Source organism: Homo sapiens, chromosome 9 (genome assembly GCF_000001405.40).
Source record: "Homo sapiens chromosome 9, GRCh38.p14 Primary Assembly".
NCBI lineage: Eukaryota > Metazoa > Chordata > Mammalia > Primates > Hominidae > Homo > Homo sapiens.
The window spans coordinates 100,302,344-100,318,044 of record NC_000009.12 but is presented as its reverse complement, the minus strand read 5'-3'; the positions used below and the strand labels follow the sequence as shown (position 1 = coordinate 100,318,044).

Sequence of the window (15,701 nt, the reverse complement as noted above, 5' to 3'; positions counted from 1 at the left end):
TCCACAGAGGTTGTACTAATTGACATTCTCACCAACAGTGTGTAAGTTCTGCATCCTCACCAATATCTGTTTTTTTTGTCTTCTTAATAGCCATTCTGACTGGTATGAGATGATATCTTTTTGTGGTTTTAATTTGTAGTTCTCTGATGATTAATGTGTTGAACATTTTTTCATGTGTGCCTTTTTGGCCAATTTGTCATCTTGAAAAATACCCATTCATATCCTTTTGTCTACTTTTTAACGGGGTTATTTGATTTTTTGTTGTTGCTTGAGTTCCTTGTATTGTAAATTTTTGGTATTAGTCTCCTGTTGGATGCATGGTTTGCCTATATTTTCTCCCATTCTGCAGGTTTTCTGTTTGCTTAGGTAGTTATTTTTCTGTGTAGAAATTTTTTAGTGTAATGAAGTCCTATTTGTCTATTGTTGTTTTTGTTGCTTGTGCTTTTGGGCTCTTAGTCATGAATTATTTGTCTAGATCAATGTCCAGAAGAGTTTTCTGTAGATTCTTATTATTTTTATAGTTTCATGTCCTACATTTAAGTGTTTAATCATCTCGAGTTGATTTTTGTATATTGTAAGAGAGATTCAGTTTCATTTTTCTGCATGACATTCCAATTTTCTCAGCACCATTTATTGTAAAAGTTGTCCTATCTCCAGTGTAGTTCTTGTTGACTTTGTCAAAGCTGAGTTGGTTATAAATATGTGCTGTTATTTTTGGTTCTCTATTCTGTTCCCTTGATCCATGCATCTGTTTTTATAGCAGTACCATGTTGTTGTGTTTACTACAGCCTTGTAGGTAATGTAAAGTATCACAGGGAATGTGATACTTCCAGCTTTGCTCTTTTTGCTTAGTATTGCTTTGGCTATTCAGGCTCTTGTTTTGGTTCCATATTATTTTTAGGATGGTTTTTTTCTAATTTTGTGAAAAATGATACTGGTATTTTGACAGCCGTTTCATTTAATCTAAAGATTAATTTGGTTAGTGTTGTCATTTTAACGATGTCAGTCTTTCTATCTGAACATTGAATGTTTTTCCATTTGTTTGTGTCATCTACATTTTCTTTCATCAGTGTTTTCTAGTTCTCTTTGTAGAGCTCTTTTACCTCCTTGGTTAAATATATTCCTAGGTTTTTTTTTTTTTTTTTTTTTTAGCTATTATAAGTGGGATTGCCTTCTTGATTTTGTTTTCAACTAGTTATTGGTATATAGAAATGTACTGATTTTTGTATGTTGATCTTACATCTTGAATTCATTTCTAGATATAAGATCATACCATCTAGTTGGATATGGTGGCATGCACCTGTAGTACTAGCTACTTGGAAGGTTGGGGCAGTAGGATAGCTGGAACCCAGGAGTTTGAGGATGCAGTGAACTATGACTGTGCCACTGCACTCCAGTTGGGGCAACAGAGCGAGACTCCATCTCTTAAAAAATAATCATATCAGCAAACAGGGATAATTCAGCTTCCTCTTTTCCAATTTGGATGTCTTTTATTTTTTTTCTCTTGCCTGATTGCTCTGGCTAGGACGTCCCGTACTATGTTGAATAGGATGATGAAAGTGGGCATCCTTGTCTTGTTCCATTTCTTACAAGAAATCTTTCCAACTTTTCTTCATTCAGTGTGATGTTGGCTGTGGGTTTGTCATATATGGATGGCCTTTATTATTTTGAGGCATGTTTCTTCTATGCCTAGTTTGTTGAGGGTTTTTATCATGAAGGGATGCTGAATTTTATCAAATGCATTTTTTGTGTCTTTTGAAATGATCATATGGTTTTTGTCCTTAATTCTGTTTATGTGATGTATTACATTTATTGATTTGTGTATACTGAACCATTCTTGCACCCCTGAGATAGAAACCTGCGTCATGGTATATTATCTTTGATGTGCTTTTAGAGTTGATTTGCAAGTATCTTGTGGAGGAATTTTGTGTCTGTGTTCATAAGGGAATAAAAGAATGAACAAAGCCTTCAGGACATTTGGGACTTATGTAAAGTGACTAAGCTTATGAATTATTGGTATTCCCAAGGGGAAGAAAGATTTAAAGTTTAGAAAACCTAGCCAACAAAGTAATTGATGAAAACTTTCCAAGCCTACCAGGAGATTTAGACGTCCAGATACAGAAGGCCTAGCAGTCTTCGGGAGAATACATTGCAGAAAGGACTTCATCGTGACATATTATAATCAGACTGTCTAAAGTCAAAATGAAAGAGAGAATTCTAAAATCAGCAAGAGAATAGTGTCTAGTCATTTATAAAGAAAATCCCGTCAGACTAACAGCAGACTTTTTAGCAGAAACCTTACAGGCCAAAAGAGAATGGGATGGCATAATCAAAGTGCTGAAAGGAAAAAACAAAAAAACCCTGAAAGCCAAAAAGTACTTTATTGGCTGAAAGCTGGGATTAGAGAGGTGGTAAAAGATACTCATACAAACAAACCACAAGTGAGCAGGAGTAGCTATACTTTTACAGGTAAAACAGACTTCAAATCAAAAACAGGTTTAAAAAATACAGAGAAAATCATTATGTAATGATGAACGGATCAATTCAGCAAGAGGATATAACAATTCTAAATATATATGCACCCAACACCACTAAGTATATATGCACCCAACACCAGAGCATCCAGATTCCAAAGTATTACTAGACCTAAAGGAAGAAATACATAGCAATACAATAATAGTGGGGTGCTTTAACACCCCAGTCTCAGCATTAGATCATCGAGAAAGAAAATACAAAGAAACATCAGACTTAAGTTGAACTTTAGACTAAGTGGACCTTACAGACATTTATAGAATATTCTACTCAACAAACTGCAGAATATACATTCTTCTCATCATCACATAGAACTACCTATCTCCCAGATAGACCATATGGTAGGTCACAACAAGTCCCAACAAATTTTAAAAAATCAAAATCATACCAAGTATATCTCCTCAGACCACAGTGGAATAAAATAAGAAATCAGTACTAAGAGGAACTTTACAAATGATGCAAATACATCGTTTTGCATTAATGTATTGCAAAATCAAACAACATACACCTGAACGATGACGTGCTCTTGAGCAATCATTGAGTCACTGAAGAAATTAAAATAGAAATTCAAAACATTTTAGAAACAATTGAAAATGGAAACAAATCATACTAAAACCCATGAGATACAGGAAAAGCAGTGCTGAGAGGGAACTTCATAGCATTAAATGTCTACATCAAAAAAGGAGAAAGATAACTAATCAGCAACCTAACGTTGCACTTCAGGGAACTAGAAAAGTAAGAACAAACCAAGCCCAAAATTAGCAGAAGACAAGAAATAACAAAGATTAGAGCAGAACTAAATGAAATAGAGATCAAAAAACAATACAAAGGGTCAACAAAATGCAAAGTTGGTTCTTCAAAATGATAAGATTGATAGCCGGTAGCTAGACTAAGGAAGAATAGTGAAGATCCAAATAGACAAAAAAAGAAATGAAAAGGAGACATAACAACTGATACCACAAAGACTGTTACAAACAACTATATACCTACAAACTGGAAAACCTAGAGGGAAAATGGATAAATTCCTGGAAACATACAACTCCCCAAGGTTGAACCAGGATGAAACAGAAAATCTGAACAGACCAATAATGAGTAGTATGGTTAAATTGGTAATAAAAAAATCTCCAGGCCGGGCGCAGTGGCTCATGCCTGCAATCCCAGCATTTTGGGAGGCTGAGGTGGGAGGATCACGAAGTCAGGAGTTCAAGACCAGCCTGAGCAATATGGTGAAACCCTGTCTCTACTAAATATACAAAAGTTACCCAGGTGTGGTGGCATGCATCTGTAGTCCCTGCTACCCGGGAGGCTGAGGCAGGAGAATTGCTTAAAGCCAGGAGGTGGAGGTTGCAGTGAGCCTAGACAGTGCCACTGCACTCCAGCGTGGGTGACAGAGCGAGACTCTGTCTCAAAAAAAAAAAAAAAAGAAAAATCTCCAAAGAACAAAAAGCCCAGAACCAGATGGATTCACAGCTGAATTCTGCCAAATGTACAAAAAAGAGCTAATACTCATTCTCCTGAAATTGTTTCCAAAAATCAAGGAGGGAAGAGGGAATTCTCCTTAATTCATTCTGTGACACCAGTATCACGTGATACCAAAACCATACAGGGACACGCTGAGAAAAGAAGGCTACGTTCCTATGTGTGTGTCTCTTTTTTTTTTTTTTTTTGGAAACACAGTTTCACTCTGTCGCCCAAGCCGGAGTGCAGTGGCACAGTCTCAGGTCACTGCCAACCTCTGCCTCCTGGGTTCAAGCAATTCTCTTGCCTCAGCCTCTTGAGTAGCTGGGATTACAGGTATGCACCACCACACCTGCTTTTGTATTTTTAGTAGAGACGGGGTTTCACCATGTAGGCCAGGCTGGTCTTGAACTCCTGACCTCAAGTGATCTGCCTGCCTTGGCCTCCCAAAGTGCTGGAATTACAGGTGTGACCCACTGTGCCCGACCCTATTCTTTATTTCTTAAATTTTTTTCTTTTTCTTTTTCTTTTTTTTTTTTTTGACCAAGTTTCACTCTTGTTGCCCAGGCTGGCGTACAATGGCACGATCTCTGCTCACTGCAACCTCTGCCTCCCGGGTTCAAGCGATTCTCCTGCCTTAGCCTCCCGAGTAGCTGGGATTACAGGCGCTTGCCACCATGCCTGGCTAATTTTTGTATATTTAGTAGAGACAGGGTTTCACCATGTTGACCAGGCTGGTCTTGAACTTCTGACCTCAGGTGATCCACCTGCCTTGGTCTCCCAAAGTGCTGGGGTTACAGGCATGAGCCACCATGCCCGGCCACTATTTCTTAATGTTGAAAGGTGCTTGTCCAGTGAGAATGCAAAATTATGTCATCCTAAGTAATTTTGATTTCATTTTTTCATGAAGTAATATTCTCTCCTGGCTAATTTTATTTTTTGTTAGCCAGTTTTGACAGTGTTGTCAACAGGGTAGTCTCTAGGTTCAAGTTACAACCTAATCTTTTGTTGTTGTTGTTGGTATACCAATGAATTTATTTACTTGATAAATTCATTTTATTTTGAATTACCTTCATGTTCTTCCTATCTCTAGGGACTATATCTTTTATAGATATTTAACTTATTTCTCTCATGGCTTTGTTTGACTCTGGTCACAATGCTAGGGTCATGCCAATGACATCCTCTTTTTATTACCCATAGTGCCTGGTACTGTGTTTACTTATAGGTCTTGAAATCTTACGTTTATTTTAGGTTTTCAGCTTGCTTTTATCTCTCAGGGTCTGTATGGTGACTTGTAAATTCTCAGGGAAAGCTCAGCTTCTATACGGTTATGGTAGCACATGTAACTTTCTTGGTATGATACTTGGGGAGAGTTCAGGTAGTCTCCTATTTGTGAAAGAGGAGATTATATTAGAGTAGTTATGGCAGACCAGTTTTCTGCAAAAAACAGTGGAGAATGGTATTTAGAAACCAACATGTGGAATTTAGGTGTGCTTATTGCTGTTGGATGTTGCTTCTCCCGTATCCTCTTATTGGACATAAAGTAGTCATTCAACACCACAGAGTTTATTCTAGTTATATCCTGTTTCTTTTTTGTACCTGCTTTCTCTGATAGAAACCTGGCTCCAGTTATACTTAATATATTTACTTGATCAGCTTCTCTGTCTATAATTAGTCTTCCTTTGCTGCCACCCCTCTCATCTCACTCCATTTGGGCTCTGGTTCTTTCGGGCTGTCTACTCTGGGCCATCTCAGCACTCCCACCAAATCCAGTGCCAGAGTTTACCTAGTTTGGCTCCAGCCATTGGCTTTAGAACTGAATTGTTTAGGGCAGCAAGGGGAGGCAGAAGGGAAGTGATGAAGTGGTCATTATTGAATGTGCACTTTTCAAATGTGGTTTGGATTAATAAAAATATTCACCATGTTTGTTTTGGAGTAGGAAGATGGCCTTGGAAATGAGTTTTTTCTCATTGTTACTTAATGGTATAAAAGAAGTTACCAAGTAAAATATCTGGGTAATATCTACAAGATATTTTACAGAGAAATAATGTATAGATCTGTTGATTCCCCCCCCCACACACTCTCAAATCTGTAAATAACAAGTATAAAAAGTCTTGATTTTTCAGGGCTAGATGACAGCTCTCTTGAACTTAACTGACTGATCTCTTCCTAGAGTGATATTCATCCTTCTACCATTCTTGTTTTTTCATGTGATGTTTTTACATATTTCATTTTTGGTAGTATACTGTATCAGATTCTGGAGTTTGTGCTGTGACTGATATCTGTGAAGGACTTAGTACTGTTCTTGACTCTTCTTGTTTTTCTGAGAACTTAGGAAATTAAAAATACTAGGGGTTTTACTTCTAACTCTCTACTTTTTGTGCAGATTTCTTTTTTACCTTTAGAGAAGGCAGTGTTATGATTAAATTGAACAGGATATTTGTATTTTCTGGGTCATAAATATTTTTCTGTGATACATTTCTCTATCAGGTGGGCAAAAAAAAGCTTTTGTTAGCCCTTTGTTCATATCACTCAGATCTTTCTGTCATAGCACTCAATAGAAATACAGTATGCCCTCACTTAATATCCTCAGTAGGTTCTTTAGGAAACAGAAATGACATACACGGCAGGTCCTTGAATAACACTTATTTTTTGGAGACAGTGTCTCACTCTGTCATCCAGGCTACAGTGCAGTGTCACCATTATGGCTTACTGCAGTGCAGCCTCAACCTCCTGGGCTCAGGCGATCCTCCTGTCCCAACCTCCTGAGTAGCTGGTACCACAAGCATGTGCTACCACATCTGGCCAACTTTTTTTTTTTTTCTAGATGAGGTACCACTATGTTGCCCAGGCTGGTTTCAAACTCCTGGGCTTGAGCAGTCCTCCCACCTTGGCCTCCCAAAGTACTAGAATTACAGTCATGAGCCACCAGGCCTGGCTGAAAAACGTTTCTTAATAATGTTGATTGGGGGGAAAAAATGATTGCATTATACATTGTTTTGCTTAAAGTCATAGTTTCCGAGAACCTGCTGAAGTTGTTAAGTAGAGGACTTACTGTGTGGTCTCCATGTTGGTAGATTGTAAGCCACTTGAGGGGTATGAGAAAGAAGAGAAGGTTTCTCATTCTTTTATTCCTGTGCATGGCATCTAATAGGGGCTAGCTCAATATTCAACATATGATTAGTAGATGAATTATTTGGAAAATTAGGCCATATATAAGGTCTATTTGTTTGATCTTTGACATTTGCATCTTCAAAATAATTTGTTATGTGTTTCCTATTAATATGTAGAGCAAGTAGGTATTAAAAGAATCTATTGCTGGGCACAGTGGCTCACACCTGTGATCTTAGCACTTTGGGAGTCTTGAGGTAGGTGGGTTGCTTGAATCCAGGAGTTTAAGACAAGCCTGGGCAAAATGGTGGAACCCCATCTCTACTAAGAATACAAAAATTAGCCAGGCGTGGTGGTGTGCACCTGTAGTCCCAGCTACTGGGGAGGCTGAGGCCAGAGGATTGCTTGAGCCAGGTCACGGGGGTTGCGGTGAGCTGAGACTGCATCACTGCACTCCAGCCTGGGCGACAGAGTGAAACTCTGTCTCAAAAAAAAGAATCTGTTGAACTTGTTTCTGATCTAAAATGTTCTGATTTGGTTAGTGGTTTTCTCCTTTTCTGACAGGCAGTTTTTCACAGTTTATTGGTTATTCCTGCCCGAAGTCAGAACTTTGACATCTTGCAAAGTGCCATCAGTAAGCATTTGGTAAGTATCCTTAAACTTTTTCTCTTAAGAATGAACACAGGATGCATTGGTTAGAATAGAGTTTTCCACAGCCCCAGAAAGAGCATGTCTGGAATTCTAAGATTAATGATATCATAGTCTCTTGCAGCATGATGCATTGGCAAGAACTGAGGAATCTTGGTATTTTTCCTGGCTGTTATTAATTTACTTCTGAGTGACCTTGGGAAAAGTCTCTTCTTAGGACCTCACTTTTCTAAATCAGTGAAATAAGGGACCTGAAAATTAAACTTCACATCCTTTCCAACTTCTGTAATTCACGTGTGCTTGGCCTCATTGTATTGAGAATTCAACATCTAGACTGAAGTCTGGGTTCCACCTAGAAGGTTTGGGGTCCAAAGTAGGCACATCATCTAACCCGGCACAAGGTGTGGTCACTGGCAGCTGTAGACTCAACCCTGAGACTGACCTGTTATTTGATATTGGATGTCTCATTTCCATTGGTATTAAATTCACATTAGATATACCTCTGTAGTTGCTTTTAACTTTCTCCAGTGTTTATACTCTTATCTTTGGCTTTTTATTGTAATGTGTTATAGTACAAAGCAGGGCTCCCAAATTATATCTTTGAGAAACACACTTGTTTGGATAAAATATAGGCACATCCAGACTCCTTTTTCTCTTAAAATGTTACTTCCCTTGAGTTGGAAGAGAGTACTGCTTTGAATTCCTAGTACTTTCTCCCTGCTGTCAAACTTCCAGTCCTTATCCCTGTGCCATCAACAATGCCCACTTTTTTTTCCCTACCTCCACTCCAGAGAATTAGACTCTCCGTTGACTACATTCATTATTCTAGTAAAAGATCAATATGCCAGTCAGTCTTGGCCACTATTTTCACACAGCCTGTGGAGGAGGTTAAGACATCAGAGTTTGCAGACTTTGTAAAATCATTACCCAACAGTAGTCTCCAGGAGATTGAAACCATGTATATATACAGTTACAAGTTAGACTCTACCTTAATGACAATGCATACAGTACATTCTAGATGAATTAGCAAACTCTAATGACCCTTCCTGGGTTTCCTGGCAGTGAAACAGTCAAATGTTAACTATAGTAATATCTTTTACTGACTCCAGTAGAGGTATGTTTATTCATGTCTGAATGACTAAATCAAAGTGCAGAGGAAGGCTAATTTTGAAATGAACTATTTATACATTTAATTACCTGGCATATGAGTGGTGCCACATGCAAGTTTTCCAGCCTGAATAATTTAAAAATTTTTAAGTATGATTGTTGGTATTCAGATTTTCTTTGAGTGCATGAAATAATCCCTTTAAATAGTTATTTCTAACCAGCAGTAGACATTTTATAGAACATTTAGAAGATTCTGTCATGAAGGGGAGGCAGTGGATTGGGTTAATAGCACTTCTTGTGTTTGCATGTTTTCAAAGTCATATAATTTAGGGATTAAATTCTCAAAGGAAAACAGGACCTTAAGGTGTGGCAGGTGGCATATGTTAGGTATATATTGGTTTTCAGTAGAAATAATGTAAAGTTAATCGTGAATTAACAGGTTTTGGTTTTATGTGGAGGAGCGGGTCTGTTATGAAGAGGTGATTAATCTCGTTTTTCTCTGCTTAGGTTGGGTTGACTGTAATTCCTGACAGCACGGCTGGCTGTGTTTTTGGTGTTATCTGTAAGCTCCTGGATCATACTTGTGTAGTTAGTGAGACTCTACTGCCATTTCTGGCTTCTTGTTGCTACAGTCTTCTTTATTTTCTGCTCACTATAGAGAAAGGGGAAGCAGAACATCTAAGAAAGAGGTAATTATTTTTTATTCTTCAACCTTAATTTTCCTACTGTTCCTCCTCCCCCAACCAAATAATAAAATAGACAGTTAAAGATAATTAGGTTATACAGATACCTTAAATTCTGTTTCAGAGAGTTTGTGTCAGCCTAGCTAGCTTTTTCTTTGTTCCTTCATGAATCCCCTTTGTGTTGTAGTGAAAATTTTTAGTTTTTTGTTCTTTCCCCTTTAAGTTACAAATTTGAAAACTTAGATGGCATTATAAAATTTCTTGAGAGGTTTCTTTTATTAACATTGCTATAAGTCTAGCAAGAAAAATAAATCTACCGTTAGGAGGATGGGCTATTAGTACCAACCTTTGTATTTTGTTTTGAGCTTCATTAGAGCTAGCCAGAGTGGGAATTTTAAAATCTTGGATTTAAGGAAATTCTTCTAAGATGCTAGTGCTTTTAATTAGTACTTTTGCTCGTATATAAAATATTCAGGCTAGAGCTTTTAGCGTAGTTGGGAAGATTTTACTTTAATTTTAAAAAGTATTTTATGCTTGTGTTCTTATTTGTGTGCCCATTAAAAGTTCATTGTAGAAGGTTTTAAAACCTGCTAACAGGTTGGCAAATATTCTGTCACCTGCTGTTAATGTTTTGATATGTGCCTTTTTGGTCTTTTTTGAACTTTTAAATGACATGAAAATACATATACTGAATGTATAAAAAAACATTTATGTAGTTTAAAAGGTAATTATAAACTGAACCTCCATTTAACCAACCCCAGGTTCGGATATAGAATATCATCAGCACATATACTGTTAATGTACCCTGCACAGTTAAATGTCTTCTACGTACCCCTCTGCCCCAGATCACTTGGTGTTGATCAACTTCATTACCTTAAAAAAAAAAATGGTTTTATGTGCATTTGTGAACAGTATCAGGTTTGTTTTGCATATTTGTGGATTTTTTGTAATGGGAATTATACTGCATGTATTTTTTGTGATTTGATTCTCTCAGCATTGCTTTTGAGATTGATTGAAGTTGACTCATTCAGCTGTATTTCATTCGTTTTTATTTCTCCATACCAGGGTTCAGCAAAGTTCTTTCTATAAAGGGTTAGTTAGTAAATATTTTAGGTTTTGCAGACCATTAGGTCTCTGTCATGGCTACTCAGCACTACCACGGTAGTGTGAAAGCATCAATAGATAATATGTAAATAAATGAGTATAATTGTGTTCCAGTAAAACTATTTACAAATACTTACCATGGGCTGGATTTGGCCTGTGGCCATAGTTTGCTCAGTCTGCTCTATAGTATTCTGTTACATGCATGTACCATAACTTAGCCATTTTATTGTCAGCATTCAAATTTTTTCCAGTAAGAGTATGTGCATAGAAAAAAATTGTGTATTTCACTTTAAATATACTATAAAATTTATGCATAACATAAATTCGACGATAGTTTTCTTATACATCATCAAACATTAGGTCTGACAGGTCAAGAAAAGGCTTTATAAGTAGCAAGGAACTTCTCAGGGTTCTAGAGATTTTATAAGATCCCCACTTAATGAAATGTGTGTGTATTGCTATTTGTTATTTCCTGTCACTTGAAGTATGGCCCCTAAAACAACTTCATGCAAAGTTTCAAAGATCTATTGTAGTTTCTTATAGAGAAACATCCTTTGACTTCATGTGGCTGGAATGAACAAAATTAAGTGTGTGTAATACTTGTTTGCCTGTTTAAAATGCCCAGTTGTAGGGGTATTCTATACTGGGTACTGGAAAGGTTAACATTACTAGGATATTAGGCACAGTTGGCAGCCGAAGTCTTAGGTACCTAAAATTCCCATTTGGGCTATTTCTTCCCCACTGGAGAAGGTGTTTATAAGATTACAAAATGATGAAAATGCTAATCAAATTACTGGGGAGCCTTTGATTTCACAAGTGCTGGCCAGAAAGTTAGGTTTGACCGAGTTGAGTTGTTTAGTACTGTCTGCTGTGCCTTGAAGATACTGTTCTATTGTCTCCTTGCCTCAGTGTTAACTAATGAAAAAATCTGCTGTTAGTCTGAGCCCTCTTAGTTTGTAGGTAGTAATCTTACAGGTAGTAATCTATATTTTTACTGTTCTCTCTTTATCTTCAGTGTGTTGCAGATCAGGATGTGTCCTAGTGTAGATTTGTTATTTATCCTGCCCTAGACATAGTGTGCTTCTGTAATGTGAAGATTCAGTTTTTTTTCTTCAAGTCTGGAAAGTTATTATTAATTTTTAACCATCTTCCCCCATTGTTTCTATTTTCTTCTAAAAACTCCTTTTAAACATAGGGAGCTTTTTATTCTGTCTTCGTCTCTTAAAAATCTTTCAATTTGCTAATTCTTTTACTTAATCCTCCTACTGAGATTTTATTTCATCAACTTTTGTTTTCTTTTGGATTTGTTTCTATTTTGGATTTTTATTTGGTATTTTGTCATTTTCGCGTGTTCTTGGTTTATTGGTGTTTCTTTAAAGTTCTTGTTAGTTCCATTAGCTCCTTTTTCCTGCGGTGTCGGCATTCTCCCTTATTTTAGGGAGCAAGTTGAACAGACTTGTATATTTTGGGCTGCATACCTTTTCCCTAAGTGTGTCTTTTGTGGGAGTTCTGTGGAGGTTTATAGAGACTTCCCTGTAGGATAGTTTGACATTTGCATTTTCCTGGCTTCCCATTCTGTGCAAGGAGCATAGTTCAAACTCCCTGCCTTCCATACCTGGGTTCTGAAGCCTCAGCTTCCAGTACTGTTGACTGTTGAAAATCCTTGCCCTAAAATCCCACATACAGTTTTTATGACTGTTGGATATCTTTATATGAATTTCATTATAGTTTCTTTCACCTAGAGGTTTTACCCATCTGGCCTTGAGCTTGGCTGTCTTTTTTTTTTAAGGTCTGTGGTTATTTGAAATCCACTCAAATTAAGAAAAGTAGAAAATGAAAATATTTGATTATTACAGGAGTAACTTGTAAAACCCAAGGGCTAGGAATTAGAAATTTAGCAAGAGACAAAGCAGCTTACTCTACGTTTCTTCTAGTTTGTGTAGTCTGTATCTCCGTGCCTTTGCATTAGCTATGTCTGCAGTCTGGCTTTCTCTTTTCTCCTTGCACGTGACTGTCCCAGCTGGGCTCTGCATAAGAGTATCTATTTGGCCTAGAATGGATTCATTATTCACCATAGATGGAATTACCATATGTGCAGTCAGGGAAATTGGTTATATAGTGAAGGGGCTGCTCCCTCTAGACCTGGAGGTAGTCAGGTTCTCTTAGAAAGATTTAGGAACTAGGAAGATTATACACTCCTGGTAAAGAAGCTGCAAAAAGGTCAGAGCCTTTCATAGTCAGTGGACTCTAGGTCTATGTGAATATTGCACCATCTAATTAACACTTGGAGAATGTGGTTAGGCTAGCTGCAAGGTCACCTGTCTCTACCATAAACATTTTGCTCCATAAAGATACCGAGAGAATGATGTTCTTGATTTGGCTCTTAGCCTAAATGTTAGTGAAAAACACCATGTTTATTGAAATGTGGATAGTTTCTCTTGTTCTTAAGTTTAATTAGGGCCCACTTGTCATTTTTTGTTTTTGCAATTGCTTTTGAGGACTTAGTAATGAATTCTTAATCTATCTTGAGTTAATTTTTTTTTTTGAGACGGAGTCTCATTCTTTTGCCAGGCTGGAATGCAGTGGTGTGATCTCGGCTCACTACAACCTCCACCTCCCGGATTCAAGCAATTCTCCTGCCTCAGCCTCCCGAGTAGCTGGGACTGCAGGCGCGTGCCACCATGCCTGGCTAATTTTGTATCTGTAGTAGAGACGGGGTTTCTCCATGTTGGCCAGGATGGTCTTGATTTCTTGACTTCGTGATCCACCTGCCTCAGCCTCCCAAAGTGCTGGGATTACAGGCGTGAGCCACCGCGCCTGGCCGAGTTAATTTTTTGTATATGATGAAAGATAGGGATCCATTTTTATTCTTCTACAAAAGGATAGCCAATTGTCCCAGCACCATTTATTGAATAGGGAATCCTTGCCCTGTTGCTTGTTTTTGTCACCTTAGTTGAAGATGAGATAGTTGTAGGTATGTGGCTTTATTTCTGGGTTCTCTTTTCTGTTCCATTGGTTTATCTGTCTGTTGTTCTCTATCATTACCATGCTGTTTTGGCTACTGTAGCCTTGTAGTGTACTGTGAAGTCAGGTTGTTTTTGCTTAGGATTGCTTTGGCCATTCTGGCTTTTTTGGTTCCATGTGAATTTTAGAATATTTTTTTTTAATTGTGTGAAGAATGATGTTGGTAGTTTGATAGGAATACAGTTGAATCTGTAGGTTGCTTTGAGCAGTGTGGCCATTTTAACAATACTGATTATTCCAATTCATGAGCATGGAATGTTTTTCCATTTATCTGTGTCATCTGTGATTTCTCTCAGCAGTGTTCTGTAGTTTTTCTTGTAGAGATCTTTCACCTCCTTGGTTAGATGTATTCCTAGGTATTTAGTGTGTGTGTGTGGCTATTGTAAGTGAGATTGCGTTCTTGATTTGGCTCTCAGTTTAAATGTTATTGGAAAACATGTTCCTTAAAAGGACATTTCACTTTGGGGGAATATAGAAGGGGGGCTTTTCCTGTGGGCATTTGCTCACTGACTCATTTCTGTCTCTGTTATTGTAGGGACAAGCTGTGGGGGGTCTGTGTCTCCATCCTGGCTCTCTTGCCTCGAGTCCTCAGGTTGATGCTGCAGAGCCTGCGGGTGAACAGAGTTGGGCCTGAGGAGCTGCCTGTTGTGGGCCAGCTGCTTCGACTGCTGCTTCAGCATGCACCCCTCAGGACTCATATGTTGACCAATGCGATCTTGGTGCAGCAGATCATCAAGAATATCACGGTAAGAAGCATGGTACCGGAGGCTTTGCAGTATTAGCATAAGAATGAATTTATGACGGGGGCATGGGGGAAAGTGTGTTTTGAGGGAGGAAAGGGATCCCATACATTGAGTCCAGGAATTAATCCCAATATGGTAGTTTCTCAGGGTCTCCCGTGCTGTCCAGCACCTGACTGTGACTTAATGGGGGGGGGGGTGTGTCTGTGATTCCAGAATTAGTAATAAAAGTCTTAAAATAATCAAACTCAATGAAGGTGACAAAGCTTAGTTTAGTTTGAAAAGGTAAGGGCATCAGAGTCATTCCTACCTAGACTGTGATACAGACTCTATTAATGAACTGTGACAGCTTGGCAAGTTTTTTTCTTTCTTTCTTACCTATCCAAGCTTGTTTTCCTATCTGTAAAAATGGGAATAATGCCAACTTTATTGTGTTTTGGTGATCATTAAAGGAGATAACCCAAGTAAAGTTTTTAGTATACCTGACATTTGTTAAGTGCTCCATAAATGTTGTCATTAAGGAAATTATTTAGCAGGAATAAACTTCAGGCCAATTTCTAGTCACTTAGTTCACTCTAAAGTAAGAAAATCAGAAGTTGCAGACTTCAGCTTTGTCTAATGGTTGGCTCTCTGCCTTCAGCTGTGTCTGTTTGGCCGGGACAGCTCTGTTGTTTAGGATTCCTTTGGTGATTTTAGTTTGGGGGGGGGGCGGTTAAAAAAGTGTCTTGTATAGTTTGATTGGCAGATTATCCCTTGAGATTCGTAGTGATACTTTGAAGTAATAGTGCTTTTACATGCATATAACACAGGTGCTCATTAGTATTTTTTCAGTAGCCTTTGTAGGGGTAATGGAAGTGGCAGTGGAATAATTCAGAAATAGTGAAGGGAAGAAAATCAAGAGCTTGGATTATTCCCAGACTGGGGAATCAGCCCATCTTTGTAAAGAAGAGATTGACAGAAATTGTTGGTTGGCCCTGTAGAGTTATTCTCAGTTGGCACTGGGGTAAAGATCATGAGACACTAGAATGGCAAGAGGGAGAGGCAAGGGTGAAGGGATGGTTGGTGGTGAAATTTCATTAGTCTCTAGCATGTGCAGGAGGGAACAGACTTAACAAGAAACCATTAGCATTTGAGGATATAACTAGGAATTTTCACTGCCTGTGGTAATGCCCAATTAATAGTTCCCTGTTTCCTGGAAGACTTCCTATGGTAATTTACAGATGGGGATACAGTTGCCAAAGCTCTGGGAAATTGTGTTTGGGTGTGAAAAATACTGTCAGGTAGCATAGTGATT

The 15,701-nt window shown here is 38.1% G+C and overlaps 1 protein-coding gene across 4 annotated transcripts in view; it reads left to right on the top strand.

The window, feature by feature from the left end:
* Positions 1-15,701, top strand: part of TEX10 (testis expressed 10) — a 50,859-nt gene that overhangs the window by 34,898 nt on the left and 260 nt on the right. For 2 of the 4 annotated variants that reach the window (XM_011518798.3, NM_017746.4), the window contains 3 exons: positions 7,666-7,746; positions 9,364-9,545; positions 14,203-14,413. In XM_011518798.3, the coding sequence (XP_011517100.1) occupies positions 7,666-7,746; positions 9,364-9,545; positions 14,203-14,413 (474 nt within the window). Of the gene's footprint in view, positions 1-7,665; positions 7,747-9,363; positions 9,546-14,202; positions 14,414-15,701 lie in introns of those variants that run through there. The other 2 variants (NM_001161584.2, XM_047423523.1) reach the window with 2 other exon arrangements.